Source organism: Homo sapiens, chromosome 16 (genome assembly GCF_000001405.40).
Source record: "Homo sapiens chromosome 16, GRCh38.p14 Primary Assembly".
Taxonomy (NCBI): domain Eukaryota; kingdom Metazoa; phylum Chordata; class Mammalia; order Primates; family Hominidae; genus Homo; species Homo sapiens.
In genome coordinates this window covers 73,977,144-73,993,619 of record NC_000016.10, presented here as the reverse complement: position 1 = coordinate 73,993,619, position 16,476 = coordinate 73,977,144, and positions in this window count along the sequence as shown.

The following is a 16,476-nucleotide window of genomic DNA, read 5'->3' as shown; positions in this document are numbered from 1 at the left end:
CACTGCACTCCAGCCTGGGCAACAGAGTGAGACTCCATCTCAAAAAAAAAAGGGACTTTTGTAATGGTAGCTGTCTATGGCCAGGATGGACTACCCAATGAAATGGTGATTTATAAAGTTATTCGAGTGAAATGTGAATGACGCCTTGCCCATAATGAGGTGGGGCATATTAGACCAGATGATATCTAAAACCCTACCCCACACATGGTTGTCATCAAAGCCTAACTCTATATAAATTTGTAAGGTCCAGTGGAGAAGTAATCTGTATAAGACAGTGCTAAATAAAGCGATGCATACATGAGTTACGGTGGCAGACAGTGCTGGATGTTTTGCCCCAATCTGAACCCACACCCTCTTTTCCGTAGTCATCTTTATCCAAGCATGGCCACATGACAGACATTCTACTCACTGAACACACTGAAGTTGCTGGTAAACCTCTTGCTTTTCTGGAAAAGAAAAGTGGCCTACCTAACTAGTAAGCACCTTTTGAAGTTTGTTCTTTTACGTTTACCTTCTTCTATCCTGGAATATGGAAGTGATGTCAAGAAATGAGGTGGCCATTTTGTGACCATGAACTAACAAGTTCTGAGGCACAGTTTGAGAGAATAATAGAAATGTTTCATTTCTCTTGAATACATACCTAGGAGTAGAATTTCAGGATCATTTGGTAACTCTGTGTGATAACCTTTGAGGAACTGCAAAACTGTTCTCCAATGTAGGGGCACCATTTCATAGTCTCCCTAGCAAGGTGTGAGGGCACCAATTTTTCCACATGGTCACCAACACTTACTATTGTCATTTTGATTATAGCCATCCTAGAGGGGGTAAAATGGTCTCTAATTTTGGTTTTGATTAGCATTTCCCTTAATGATGGTGAGCATTATTTAATGTGTTTATTGACCATTTGTATACCTTCATTAGAGAAATGTCTATTCAGATCCCCTGCCCATTTTAAAAATTGGGCTGCCTTTCAATTATTGAGTTGCAACAGTTCTTTATATAGGCTGGATAAAAAATTTATTACTTGTGCTTTTCTTCTTGTATCCAAGAAAATTTTGCCCAATCCAAGATCATGAAACTTTACTCTTTGTGTTTTCTTCTAAGAGGTTTTTTTTTTTTCCTTCAATACTTTTAGTTCTTACATTTAGGTCTATGATCCTTTCTGATTTTTTTTTTTGAGATGGAGTTTCGCTCTTGTTGCCCAGGCTGGAGTGCAATGGTGTGATCTCGGCTCACCACAACCTCCACTTCCCAGGTTCAAGCCATTCTCTTGCCTCAGCCTCCCAAGTATCTGAGATTACAGGCATGCACCACCACACCCGGCTAATCTTGTGTCTTTAGTAGAGATGGGGTTTCTCCATGTTGGTCAGGCTAGTCTTAAACTCCCGACCTCAGGTGATCTACCTGCCTTGGCCTCCCAAAGTGCTGGGATTACAGGTGTGAGCCACCACACTCAGCCCCTTTCTGAATGTTTTTGTGTGGCTAATTGTCCCAGCGGCATTTATTGAAAGGATCATTCTTTCCTCACTGAATTGTTTTGACACTTGTCAAAAGTCAATTGACCATAAATGTCAGGGTTTATCTCTAAATGCTCAGTTTTATTCCACTAATCTACATATCTACCTTTCTATCAGTATCACAATATCTTGATTACTAGAACATTGTAAGTTTTGAAATTAGGAAGTGGGTAGGCAAAAAATTAGGAAGTGGATAGGTAACAAAAAGTAGGAACTTTTTCTTTTCCAAAATTGTTTTCACAATTTTGGATCCCTTGCTTTTGCATAGGAATTTTAGGATCAACTCATCAATTTCTATGAAAAGCCAGCTGAGATTTTGATATGGATCGTGTTGAATCTGTACATTAATTTGGTTAACATTGCCATCTTAACAGTATTGTTCAATGCATGAACATGGAATATCATTTCATTAGGTTTTAAAACATTTCTGGGAGCTGGGCACAGTGGCTCATGCCTGTAATTCTAGCACTTTGTGAGGCTGTGGTGGGGGGGACTGCCTGAGGCCAGGAGTTCAAGACCAGCCTGGGCAACGTAGCTCTAGAAAAGAAAAATCGATAGGGACAGGCGGTAGGGAAATTCTAGGCAGAAAAGTCAGGGTCTGTGGCAAAGCCCCATCCTCCAGTCTAGAACTGCAGCCCAAGGTGAGAACTTTACATCCCCATTTTCCTACCCGAATGTTCCCTTTTCCAAAACCACCCTGGCCCACCCTGCTCCCCTTCCCATACCCATAAAACCCCCGGGCTTCACTGCCAGAGAGCAGAGAAGGGGAGAAGAGAAGTAGCAGCTGAACGTTGAAGATAAGCAGTTTGATTTCAGAGGAATGGCTTGATGGTGAGACTTCAGGGAAAGAATAGCTTCCGGCTCCCTCCCCTTTCCAACTCCCCTTCTTGCTGAGAGCCACTTCCATTGGCAATGAAATCCTCCACATTCACTACACTTCAATTTGTTTGTGTATCCTGATTTTTTCCTGGATGTTGGACAAGAGCTTGGGATACAGAAAGCTCAGGATACAGAAATCTGTCACACTGACCTTCTGCCCTCACAAAAAGGCAGAAGGTCCGTCCACTGAGCTATTAAACACTTAAGCCATCTGTGGACAGCAAAACTAAATGAGCACTGTAACACATGCCCTCTGGGACTTCCAGGGTCATGGGTACTCCCCCTTAGATGCTGCCGTGGGACCTGCACGAAGTTTTTCTCCCATCAGTGCCCGAAAGTGCTCACTCTGACTCCTGCACCTGCTCACCTGCCTGCTCCCCCTCCTGTGAGGGGTTGAGAGCTGCAGGCTGAGTAAGTAAGGCACCCCTGTCACGAGGCCCACAAAGGGGTCAAGGGAAATTTTCTGTTTCAGAATTAGCTGGGCATGGGTACATGTGCCTGTCATCCCAGCCACTTGAGAGGCTGAAGTGGGAGGATCTCTTGATCCTGGGAGGTCAAGGCTGCAGTGAGCCATGATCATGCCACTGCACTCTAGCCTGGGTGTCAGAGTGAGACCATGTCTCTTAAAGATGAAGAAAAATATATTTCTTTTAGCAGTGTTTTCTAGTTTGCAGTCTATGAGTTTTACATTTTTTTTCTTTTTCTTTTTTTTTTGAGACGGAGTCTTGCTCTGTCGCCGAGGCTGGAGTGCAGTGGCGTGATCTCAGCTCACTGCAAACTCTGCCTCCTGGGTTCAAGCCATTCTCCTGCTTCAGCCTCCCGAGTAGCTGGGACTACAGGCGCCTCCCACCACGCCTGGCTAATTTGTTTTGTATTTTTAGTAGAGACGGGGTTTCACCGTGTTAGCCAGGATGGTATCGATCTCCTGACTTCATGATCTGCCTGCCTCAGCCTCCCAAAGTGCTGGGATTACAGGCGTGAGCCACCACGCCCAGCGAGTTTTACATTTCTTCTGTTAAATTGATTCCTAAGTATTTTATTCTTTTGATACTATTGTAAATGGAATTATTTTCTTAATTTAATTTTTGCAACATTCATTTCAAATGTACGGAAATACAATTGGTTTTTTAATATTGGCCTTGTACCCTGCAACCTTGTTGAACTTGTTTATTAATGCTAATAATTTTTAGTGTATTTCATAGGATTTTCTATATATAAGATTATGTCATCTGCACATTGTTTTATCTCTTCCTTTTCAATCTACAATGCCCTTTATTTCTTTTCTTGCCTAATTGCTCTGGCTAGAGCACCCAGTACAATGTTGAATAGAAGTGGAGAGAGCAGATATCCTTGTCTTGTTTCCAATTTTATAGGAAAAACATTTGGCCTTTTACCGTTAAGTACAATATCAGCTGTGGATTTTTTGTAGATGACCTTTATCAGGTTGAATAAACTCCCTCTAATCCTAGTTTGTTCTTATCATGAAACGGTGTTGGACTTTGTCAAATGCTTTTCTGCATCTGTTATTGAGATGATTATGTTTGCCCTTTATTCTGATAATGTAGTATATTACGTTAATTGATTTTTTAGATGTTAAAACAACCTTGTATTCCTAGGGTAAATTCCACTTGGTTATAGTATATATTTCTTTTCTTTTTGTTTTTTTTTTTTTGAGACGGAGTCTCACTCTGTCGCCCTGGCTGGAGTGGAGTGCAGTGGCGCAATCTCGGCTCGCTGCAAGCTCTGCCTCCCGGGTTCACGCCATTCTCCTGCCTCAGCCACCTGAGTGCTGGGACTACAGGCTCCCGCCACCACGCCCGGCTAATATTTTGTATTTTTAGTAGAGACACGGTTTCACTGTGTTAGCCAGGATGGTCTTGATCTCCTGACCTTGTGATCCACCCGCCTCGGCCTCCTAAAGTGCTGGGATTACAGGAGTGAGCCACCGTGCCTGGCAGTGTATATTTCTTTTTATATGTTGCTGAATTATTATGGAAAAAACCTCAGTTTCTTTTGCACCAACCTAATAGATTTGCCAGTACAGTTGTCTGTCAGCATCTGTGGAGGATTTATTTTAGGACTCCCCATGGATACCAACATCTGCAGATGCTCAAGATCCTTATATAAAATGGTATATTATTTGCATATAGCCTACATGCCTCCTTCTGTATACTTTATTTAATTTTTTAACAATTTCAACTTTTAGATTCAGGGAGTACATATGCATGTTTGTTACATGGGTATATTGCACGATGCTGAGGTTTGGGTATGAATGATTCTGTCATTCAGGTAGTGAGCAGGTAGTTTTATAACCCTTGATTCTCTCACCATATCCCCCGCCAGTAGTCCCAGTGTCTGTTTTTCCCATCTTCATCTCCATGTGTACCCAATGTTTAGTTCCCACTTGTAAGTGAGAACATACAATATTTTGTTTTCTGTTCCTGCATTAATTCACTTAGGCTGATGGCCTCCAGCTGCATTCATGTTGCTGCAAAGGACATAATTTCATTCTTTTTTTACGGCTGTGGTATTTATATACCACGTTTTTTTTTTTTTTTTTTTTTTTTTTTTTTACCTAATCTACCACTGATGGGTATTTAGGTTGATTCCATGTCTTTGCTATTGTCAATAGTGCTGTGATGAACATAGGAGTGCATGTGTATTTTTTGTAGAAGGATTTATTTTCCTTTGGGTATATACCCAGTGATGGGATTGCTGGGCTGAATGGTAATTCAGTTTTAAATTCTTTGAGAAATCTTCAGATTGCTTTCCACAATGGCTGAACTCCTACCAGCAGTGTATAAGTGTTCCCTTTTCTCTGCAACCTTACCAGCACCTGTAATTTTTTGACTTTTTAATAATAGCCATTCTGACTGGTGTGAGGTGCTATCTCATTGTGGTTTTGATTTGCTTTTCTCTAATGATTGGTGATGTGAGCATTTTTTTATATGTTTGTTGGCCACTTACATGTCTTCTTTTAAGAAGTGTCTATTCATGTCTTTTGCCTACTTTTTTAATAGGGTTATTTGTTTTTTGCTTGTTGAGTTATTTAAGTTTCTTATAGATTCTGGATATTGGTCCTTCGTCAGATGCTGACATGGTTTGGATTTGTGTCCCCAACCAAATCTCATGTTGAACTGTAATCCCCAGTATTGAGAAGAGGCCTGGTGGGAGGTGATTGGATCATGGAGGCAGATTTCCCCCTTGCTGTTCTTGTGATAGTGAGTTATCATGAGATCTGTTTGTTTCAAAGTGTGTAGCACCTCCCTCTTTGCTCTCTTCCTCTTGCTCTGGCATCTAAGATGTTGCCTGCTTCCCCTTTGCCTTCTGCCATGATTGTGACTTTCCTGAGCCCTCCCCACAGAACCTGTAAGGTCTGCTGAACTATGAGCCAATTAAACCTCTTTTCTTTTAAATTACCCAGCCTGAGGTAGTTCACCATCACCCAGGCTGACTCACTGCATCTTTGACCTCCCCAGAGGGCTCAGGTGACCTTCCTACCTTAACCTTCCAAGTAGCTGGGGCTACAGGCATATGCCACCATGCCTGGCTAATTTTTGTGAGGTTTTTTTTTTTTTTTTTTTTTTTTTTTTTTTTGTAGATATGGGGTTTTGCCATGTTGCCCAGGCTGGTCTCAAACTCCTGGGCTTAAGCAATCTGCCCACCTTGATCTCCCAAAGTGTTGGGATTATAGGCATGAGCCATTGCACCTGGCCTAATTTATATATTTTTTATTGTTGTGTTATTAGTTTAAATTTTTTGGGATATTTTTGATCTGCAATTGGTTGAATCCATGGATGCTGAACCCATGGATATGGAGGGCCACCTGTATTTTGTTGAGGATTTTTGTGTCTGTAGTCATAGGGGATGTTGGTCTGTGGTTTGTTTTCTTGTTATGTCTTTTGTTTTGGTGTCAGGGTAACACTGGCCTCATACAATTGGTGAAAATGTGTTCCCTCCTCTTTTTTGAAGAGTTTGTGAAAGAATAAGTACTAAATCTTTCTTGAGTGTTTGGTAGAATTCATCAGTAAAACCATGTGGGCCTGGGCCTTACTTGTGGGAAGTTGTAAGATTGCTAATTTGATCTCTACTTTCTATAGGTCTATTCAGATTTTCTATCTTTTTTTCAATCAGTTTAGGTAATTGGTGTCCTTCTATGACTTTTCCCCTCTTCTCTAAATTACCTAACTTTTGGCATACAGCTGTTCATAGTATTCCCCTAAAACAAAGAAAAAATTATTTAAGATGGGTAGCAACATCCCTTCTGTCATTCTGATCTTAATAATTTGTGTCTTCTTTTTTTTCTTGACAAGTCTAGCTAAATGTTAATTTTTTAAATCTTTTCAAATAAACAATTTTTGGCTGTCTTGATTTTCTCTATTATTTTATTCTTTGTCTCTAGTCTAGTCTTCATTATTTTATCCACTTATTTACTAGGTTTTAGTTTAGTTTGCTCTTTTTTTTTTTTTTTTTTGGAAACGGAGTTTCTTTCTGTTGCCCAGGCTGGAGTGCAATGGCATGGTCTCGGCTCACTGCAAGCTCTGCCTCCCGGGTTCAAGCCATTCTCCTGCCTCAGCCTCCTGAGTAGCTGGGATTACAGGTGCCCACCACCACATCCGGCTAATTTTTGTATTTTTATTAGAGATGGAGTTTCTTCGTGTTGGGCAGTCTGGTCTCAAACTTCCGACCTCAGATGATCCACCTGCCTCGGCCTCCCAAAGTAGTTTGCTCTTCTTTTTTGGTTTCTTAAATTGAAGCCTAGGTTATTGATTTGAGATCTATCTTATTTTATAATATGAGTAGTTACATCTATAAATTTCTTTCTGAGTACTGCTTTAACAGCATCCTATAAATTTTGGTATGTTGTGCCTTTGTTTTCATTTCTTTCAAAGTAGTTTCTAATTTTCTTTGTGATTTCTTCTTTAGCCTATTGGCTATTTAGGAACATGCTGTTTAATGTCCATATATTTTGAATTTTCCAAATTTCTTTGTTATTGATTTAATCTAATTCCATTATGGTCAGAGAACATACTTTGTATAATTGCAATATTTTAAAATGTATTGAGATTCATTTTATGGCCTAGCATATGGTTTATCTTGGAGAATGTTTCATGTGTACTTGAGAAGAATATGAATTTGGCTGCTATTGGGTAGAGTGTTCATAGGAGTCTGTTAGGTGGTTTATAGTGTTGTTCAAATATTTATCTCCTTGTAGATCTTCTATGCATAAATGAAAATGAGATTTTAAAGATTCCCTTTATTGTTATTGAACTGTCCATTTTTCCCTTTATTTTGTAAAACTGAAGACTGCTTCGTGTATTTTGGGGCTTTGTTGTTAAGCACACATGTTTATTATTGCTACATATTCCTGATGGCTGGGCCCTTTTATCTCCATAAAATATCCCTATTTATCTGCAGTAGCTTTTTTGTTTTTAAAGTCAGTTTGATCTGATATTAAGGTAGCTATTCCATATTGCATCTCTTTTATTGTTGTTGTTTGTATGATGTGTCTTTTTCTGTTATCTTGCTTCAGTCTGTTTGGATCATTGAAATTACATCTACCATTTTGCTTTTTTGTTTTTCTATATGTTTCATGTGTTTTTTTCTGTACTCCTCCACGTGTTCTTTTTAACTATTAGATATTTTCTAGTGTAACATCTTAATTCCATTAAAGACTCAAATTCTGTTTTTTGGGTTATTTTGTATATACTATATGGTTTATAATTATACATCTTATCAGAATCTACTTCAGATTTATTCTGACTTTGTTTCAATGAACTCTAAAAACTTTTCCTAATTTGGAACATGTTCTCCTCCTTTTTGTGCTATTATTATACATATTAAATCTATACATTTTATTAACCCAACACTACATTGTATCTCCTTTAAAGAAACTGAGAGAAGGAGGGATGGCAAGATTATGTTTATAGAGCTTGTTATGTTAATTTTTTTGATTTACTCCTTCTGCTTCTCTTTACTTTGTAATGTAGACTTCATTTACCATCTGATACTATTTTCTTACTCCAATATAAAGTCTTCCTACCTGCCTCCTTTGTGCTGTTATTTTTATGTTACAGGACCAACAATACAATTATATATTTACTACTTGCAGTTGCTTTTAAAATCAGTTAAGACAAGAAAGATGGAATTATATTGTCTTTTGCAATTACCTACATAGTTACCTCTACTGGCATTCAATTTTTTTGTAATTTTGAATTTCTGTCTGACGTCAGTCATTGGCTTTCAGCCTGAAGAACTTCTTTCAGTATTCCTTGTATGGCAGGTCTACTGGCAGCAAATTATTTCAGTTTTTGTTCATCTGGGAATATCTCTTATCTTCATTTTTAAAGTATAGTTTTGCTGGTTATAAGATTCTTGGTTGACAGTTTATACTTTTAGTAACTTGAATGTCATCTTATTGCCTTCTGCCTCCACTGTTTCTCATGAGAAGTCAGGCGTTATCATTTTAAGATTCCCTTGTTCATGAGGAGTTGTTTTTCTCTTGTGCTTTCAATATTTTTTTTTAATCTTTGGGTTTCAATATTTTGATTATATGTCTGGCTTGGACCTCTTTAAGTTGTTCCTACTTAGAGTTGGTTGAGATTCTTTGTGTGTAGGTTAATGTGTTTTTTTGTCAAATTTGAGAAGTTTTCTAAATAATTTGATTTAAAATGTGCAAAGGATCTAAATAGACATTTCTCAAAAGAAGACATGCAACACCCAAAATGCTCAACTCTACTCATCAGCAGGGAAATGCAAATGAAAACCTCAACGAGATAATCATCTCACCCCAGTTACAATGGCTATTACCTGAAAGACCAAAAAATAACAAATGCTGGCAAGGATGTGGAGAAAAGGAAAGTCTTACATACTGTTGGTCAGAATGTAAATTAGTACAGCCATTGTGGAAAACAGCATACAGGTATCTCAAAAAACTAAAAATAGAACTACCATAAAATTTAGCAATCTCACTACTGGGTGTTTATCCAAAAGAAAGGAAATCAGTGTAGCAAAGGGACAGTTGCACCCCTGTGTTTATTGTAGCACTATTCATAATAGTCAAGATATGGAATCAACCTAAATTTCTATCAACAGATTAATGGATAAAGAAAATGTGGCATATATATATACAACAGAATACTCTTCAGCCATAAAAAACAATGAAATCTTGTCATTTGTGGCAACATAGATGAAAGTGGAGGACATTATGTTTAGTGAAATAAGTCATAAAGATAAATACTGCATGCTCTCATAAGTGGGAGCTAAAAGAAAATTGAGCTCATAGAGGTATAGCATAGAATTGTGGTTATTTGAGGTTGGGAAGGGTTGGGGGAGGAGAGAATAGAGAAAGGTTGGATAATGGATACAAGTTACAGGTAGAAAGAAGGAATAAGTTCAAGGGTTCTGTGGCACTGTAAGGTGAGTATGACTAACAATAATTTAACATATATTTCCAGAAAGCTAGAAGAGAGACTTGAATGTTCATAACGGAAATGATAAATGTTTGATGTGATATGCTAATTACCCTGATTCGTTCATTATACATTGTATACATGTATTGGTACATCATTCTGAATCTCATAAATATATACAAGTTTTATATGTCACCTAAAAATGAAAAAAATCAGAACAAAATGTGAGAAATTTTCAGCTATTATTTCTTCAAATATTTTTTCTGTTCTCCTCTCTCACAACTCTCCTTCTGGTAGTCCATGACGTGTATATTGGTGCACTTAGTGGTATCCTACATTTCTCTGAAGTTCTTATTTTTATTCGTTTTTTTCCTCTGCGTATCACATTGCATAATCTCTATTAATATCTCTTCTAGTTTGCACATTTTTTCTTCTTCCAGCCCCTCTCGAGCCCCCCTAGTAATTATTTCATTTTGATTATTGTGTTTTTCAATTCCAGAATTTCCACTTGATTCTTTGTAATGGTTTTTATCTCTTTATTGATAGTCTCCATTTTATGAGTCATTGTCATCTTACCTTACAATTCTTTAAGACTGGTTTCCTGTAATTTTCAAACATATTCATAATAGCTGTTTTGAAGTCTTTGTCTGCATAGTCTACAATCTGGGGCACTTGAAAGCAATTTTTATTTACTGATTTTCTCCCCCTGTGTATGGATCACACTTCCTTGTTTCTTTGCATGTTTCATAATTTTTGGGAGAAGATCAGATAATGGAGCAAATCTGGATATTGACACCTTTTCTTGGGGGTTCTTGCTGTTGTTTACTTGGTCGTTTTTAAAATTTGTTTAGTGACTTTGCTGAAATAATTCTGCAAAGTCTATTTCTCTTGTAGTGTGTATTCTCTGATGGCCTTGCTAAGACTCACCTTTCCTCACCCCTTAAAAAAAAAGTCCTTTAGCCTGGCTACTTAGGATTGCCCTGGTTTACAGTAGATGATTGTTCATTCAGTGTTTGGTCAAAGGTTGTGTTTAAGCCCATGTGCTAGTGAGACTCCCTCCCTAGCTGATGGGTCTGTATGCATTTTGGAGAGTACTTTCAAGTCTGCCTCCTGCCTGTCTCTGATTGCCCCTGAGCTGACGTAGCCTAGGGCATGCACATAATCTTCCCATTCCCCAGAGCTGATGTGATCCTAAGAGACCTATTCTCTTCTTTGGTTCTTTCTATTAAACTTTTTGCTGCTCTGGCAACTTGCTTGTATCATAGAACTATCCGCTTCCTTTCAATGATTCTCCACCAAGGTCTCTGTTTCCAAGGCCCATATCTTAGCACAGGGATCTAGTGGCTGAGATCTTCCTGCCAAATGGGTGACTTTATCTTAAAAAGTATTTTTCACCTCAGCTAGAATCTCCTGTTTGCCTGTTTTCTACTTTGGGCATAACTCTTGCCTTGAGGTTGAGATTGATCATTTCTAATCCATTTTATATGAGAATGGGCAAATTCCCTCAATTTTGAGTGCCTTGAATCTGCTACTGTCTCTGCTTTATTCCACTCATCTTGTGTGGATGTTTTGATGTTTACTCATTGCCTGGACTTCCCAGACACCTGCGTCACTCTGTCCTACTCTTCTGTCATTGTCTTGTTGCGTGGAATTGTACTTAAATCTTAATTTGTGTCTGTTTAAAATCTTATGCCCTGATATGGTTTGGCTGTGTCCCCATCCAAATCTCATCTTGAATTTCCATATGTTGTAGGAGGGGGCCAGTGGGAGGTAATTAAATTATGGAGGCAGGTCTTTCCTGTGCTCTCCTCGTGGTAGTGAATGAGCCTCACGGGATCTGATGGTTTTAAAAATGGGAGTTCCCTGCACAAACTTTCTGTATGCTTCCTGCCATCCATGTAAGACATGACTTGCTTCTCCTTGTCTTCCACCATGATTGTGAGTCTTCCCCAGTCACGTGGAACTGTAAGTCCAATTCAACCTCTTTCTTTTGTAAATTGCCTGGTCTCAGGTATGTCTTTATCAGCAGCATGAAAATGGACTAATACATGTCCATTCAAGTTTTCTGAGGATTTTTGAGGTCTTACACTCAGTGTTAATTCTCAAAATTTCCGGGGCACCTCAGTCTAGTTTCTACCCTTTTCCTACCTCCACTTTGCTTATTTGCCAGACATTGTTTCTCTCCTTTCATTCTACATCACCAGAAAAACATGGCTGCTGTGTGTGGCAGACTTAGTCAAGGTTTGAGGGTCAGGGAGAGTGATTACATTGCACAGTGAGGAATAGTTGGAATTCTAGACTAACATTCACTCTTTATAAATGTTCCCAGATTGCCTGAGGATTTGTCACCAGCTTTTTCACCATAAGCCCAGCTATGTTGCTGGCTTGCTGCTGCTCACTGTCTCTTTCTTTATCAATTCCTTCATTTGTATTTTTTTCTTTTCTCCATTCCAGGGTTCCCAAAGAGGGAGAGAGGCCTCTCTCTCAGTTCTTTTTTTCCTTCCTGAGTGTTGATTTTTAAAAATCGTGGTAAAATATAGCTAACAAAAAATGTACAATGTTAACTGTTGTGTGTGTGTGTTTTTTTTTTTTTTTTTTTTTTTTTTGAGTTGGAGTTTTGCTCTCTTTGCCCAGCCTAGAGTGCAATGGCGCAATCTCGGCTCACCACAACCTCTACCTCCTGGGTTCAAGTAATTCTCCTGCCTCAGCCTCCTGAGTAGCTGGGATTACAGGCATGCGCCACCGCGCCCAGCTAATTTTGTATTTTTAGTAGAGACGGGGTTTCTCCATGTTTGTCAGGCTGGTCTCGAACTCCCATTCCTCGGGTGATCCGCCAACCTCGGCCTCTCAAAATGCTGGGATTACAGGCATGAGCCACCGCGCCCGGCCCGTTAACTGTTTTTAAGGGTACAATTCTGTGACAATAAGTATATTCATCATGTTAGGCAACCATAACCAGTATCCAGCTTTTCTACCATTCCAAGCAAAAATTTCACACCCATTAAACAGTAACTCCTCATTCTCCCCATCTTCTGCCCCTGGTTAACCACTGTTATATTTTCTATCTCTACGAATTTGCCTGTTCTAGGTATCTGATCCTAGAATTGTATAATATCCTTTTGTGCCTGGCTTATTTCACGTAGCATAATGTTTTCAAGTTTTATCCATGTTGTAGTACATGTACATGATTTAAAATAGGCAAAGGATCTAAACAGACATTTCTCAAAAGAAGACGCGCAAACACCCAAAATGCTCAACTCTACTCATCATCAGGGAAATGCAAATCAAAACCTCAGCGAGACAATCATCTCACCCCAGTCAGAATGGCTATAATCTGAAAGACGAAAAAATAATAAATGCTGGCAAGGATCTGTTATAATTGAACGTATACGCCACATTTTGTTTACTTATTGTTGATGGACATTTGGGTTGTTTCTACCTTTTGGCTGTTGTGAATAATGTTGCTATGAACATTAGCATAAAATTATCTGTTTGAGTTCCTGTTTTCAATTATTTTGGGTATATACCTAGAAGCAGAATTACTGGATCCTATGGCATTTCTGCGTTTAACTTTGTAGGGAACTACTGTTTTCCACAGTGGCTGTGCCATTTTACCTTCCCATCTGCAATGTACAAGGGTTCCAATCTTGTTACATCATCACCAACATTTGTTGTTTTCCATTCTTTTGATGCCATCCTAATAAGTGTGAAATATCCAGCCCACTTTTAATCACCCTTCCCTTTCAAACTGCCAGGCAATAAATGAAGAATGAAGATTCTTTTTACTTTATGATGTAGAGCAAACTCTCTGAGAGAATAGGGAGAAGCTATGCATTATAAATTTGTCTACTTTTTAATTGTGAAATACTTCTAATATGCCAAAATGTTTAAGGGATCATAAACTCATGTTTTAAAATGAGATTTCTCAGAGCTTATCATTTTGCCATATTTGTTTCATATTTTGTCTTTTATAGTTCTCTTTGCCTTAGTGGACTTTGCATTTCATCAATGGTGTCTATAAGCTGAATGAGACAATTAGAATATTTATTCCCTGCCCTAGGCAGGGCATTTTCCACATTCAGAATGAAGCTTTTCTTTATATGTTCGCAGACCCATTTGCAAAAAAGTCTTTCCACATTTCCCAAGTTGCTTTAAAAATACCCTTGTTATAGTCGTCTTCTAAGAGGTACACCTCAGAAGCTCCATTTCTTTCACACGAGAAAACTAAAGTTTAGAAAAGAATAGAGGAAACATTTGAATCAGCAGATGGAAAATATGAGGATTAACCCATTGATGCCTGAGGTTGCAATTTTTTGAATTTTTGCAATCAGACTTTGGAAATGACCTTGAGCAGTAGGATATAAATAACTCCCACATGCTTAGTGTTCCAATAATGGAAGACTAGGATAAATGGGGAGATGTTATGCTAATCTTTTGTACACTAATACACGAGTTCCAGGAAATCTTGCTGCCATCATCTTTGGCATTGAATGAATTGTTATGAGATGGAATCTCTTTACATGACTGAGAAAGTTCTAGTACTTGTAGGTGCTTAAACTCACAGGAAGGTCAGAGTAGCAGAATGTGAGGAGGTGCAAATGAATGCAGGGGAGGGCTGGAGACACCAGGGTTCATGGCGTCTCTGGGAAAGGTGACACCCTACAATATTCGGAAAGAAATACAACGTTTGGGTTTAAAGATGATGCCAAAATTCTAGAAAGAATAGAAAGACTTAAGACAATAATGGTCACTGAAAAAAATAAAAAATGTACATTAAACTTTTTTCCAGCTAAGGACATTAACAATACATCATATTTAATGCTTTGTGGCTTATAAATATATTCATGATTTCATGTGATTATGATGATTACCCTGAAAAACATCTTTTTCTGAGTCTCATTTTGTAGATTTACAAAAAAGGAAAGGACACTATTTTTATTGCTCAGTCGCTATATGCTGGCCATGTTATAAAATTTATTTCTTGAACCGTCACAATGACCATGTAAGTATATTTTATTATTGCCACTTTATGGCTGAGGAGGCTGGTATCACAGGTGCTAAGTGGCCAGCCCAGGGGCATACAGAGAAAAGCAGAGCAGAGTCTCCGATTTAGCACTCTTGCTACCATCAATGTTAACTTCTGGAAATTCTTAATCTGAAACCATAAATTTGTGCTGTCCAGTATGGTGTCCCATTAGCCACATATGGCTGTTTAAATTTGCTGATTAAGTTGAAATGAAATTCAAAAATCATTTCCTTGGTCACGTTGGTAGTAGCGAATCCATATGTAGCAACTCGAATCTTGCCTCCTTGAAGGAAAGAATTTGTCCGAGGGGTGTAAGGCAGAGTGACAGATCAAGCCAAGTTTGAGCAGGAGTGAGAGTTTATTAAAAAGTTTTAGAGCAGGAACAAAAGGAAGTAATGTACACTTGGAGGAGGGCCAGGCAGGCAACTTGAGAGATCCAAGTGTGCTGTTCAGTACTTGACATGGGTGTTTTTTTTTGTTGGTTTGTTTTTTTTGAGATGGACTTTCGCTCTTGTTGCCCAGGCTGGAGTGCAGTGGCGCAATCTCGGCTCACCGCGACCTCCGCCTCCCGGGTACAAGCGATTCTCCTGCCTCAGCCTCCTGAGTAGCTGGGATTACAGAAATGCACCACCACGCCCAAAGAATTTTGTATTTTTAGCAGAGACAGGGTTTCTCCAGGTTGCTCAGGCTGTCTCCAATTCCCGACCTCAGGTGATCCGCCCACCTCGGCCTCCCAAAGTGCTGGGATTTTTATACATTGGCATGATCCCCAGGTTTGTATCTCTTCTCCTCTGATTCTTCCCTTTGGGTGGACTGTTCGCACACACAGGGGCCTGCTGGCACGTGGGAGGGGAGCATGCGCAGTGTGTTTACCCAGGTCATGTACGTGTTCGTTTGGGGCATTTTTCCCTGACCAGTTGAGTGTTCCTAGAGGTAGATCTTATACCAGTTAAACTCTGCCATTTTTCCTCTTAGTGCGCATGCTTAAGCCCACTCACCCATCTCCTGAGATCTTATCTGGAGGTTGCTGATCAGCAGCTTCAGGTGTTTTCTTTTTCTGTCTGTCTATCTATCTATCTATCTATCTATCTATCTATCTATCTATCTATCTGGAGACTGCCTTTCCTTGTTGCTGGCTGTGACCAATTATTATTTTAGAGAGACAGCTTAACAACTGCCTGACCATCTCCTGATGGTCACTTGACGTTCCTGGGGGTGAGGGAGGCTCTCTCCTGCACTGCTCAAGTCTGCCTAACTGCTTTCTCTAACAGTCACCCTAGCCACATTTCAGGTGCTCGATAGCCACCTGCAGCTGGTGGCAGCCATGCTGGATAGTGGAGCTGTGAAGCGTTTCGGTCATTGCAGAGGTTGTGTTGAACAGGGCAGCTAGACAGCCTGTGTCCAGTGTCTAATACCTTTGTTACCTGTGCATTTGCCAAAGAATGAAAAAAAGGAATCAAGAAAATGAGGTAGTGGAACAGAAAGCAATACCAATGAATCCAGTACTTCAACATGTGGGAGGAGGTAGCAAATTATTGAGTGTGTGTAAATCAGGGAATAAGGAAACAAAGGAAAGACCTCTTCATCTCAGCACATGGAAAGCAGCAGAAGGAGGTTGTGGGGAGGATGTATTGGTAAACGT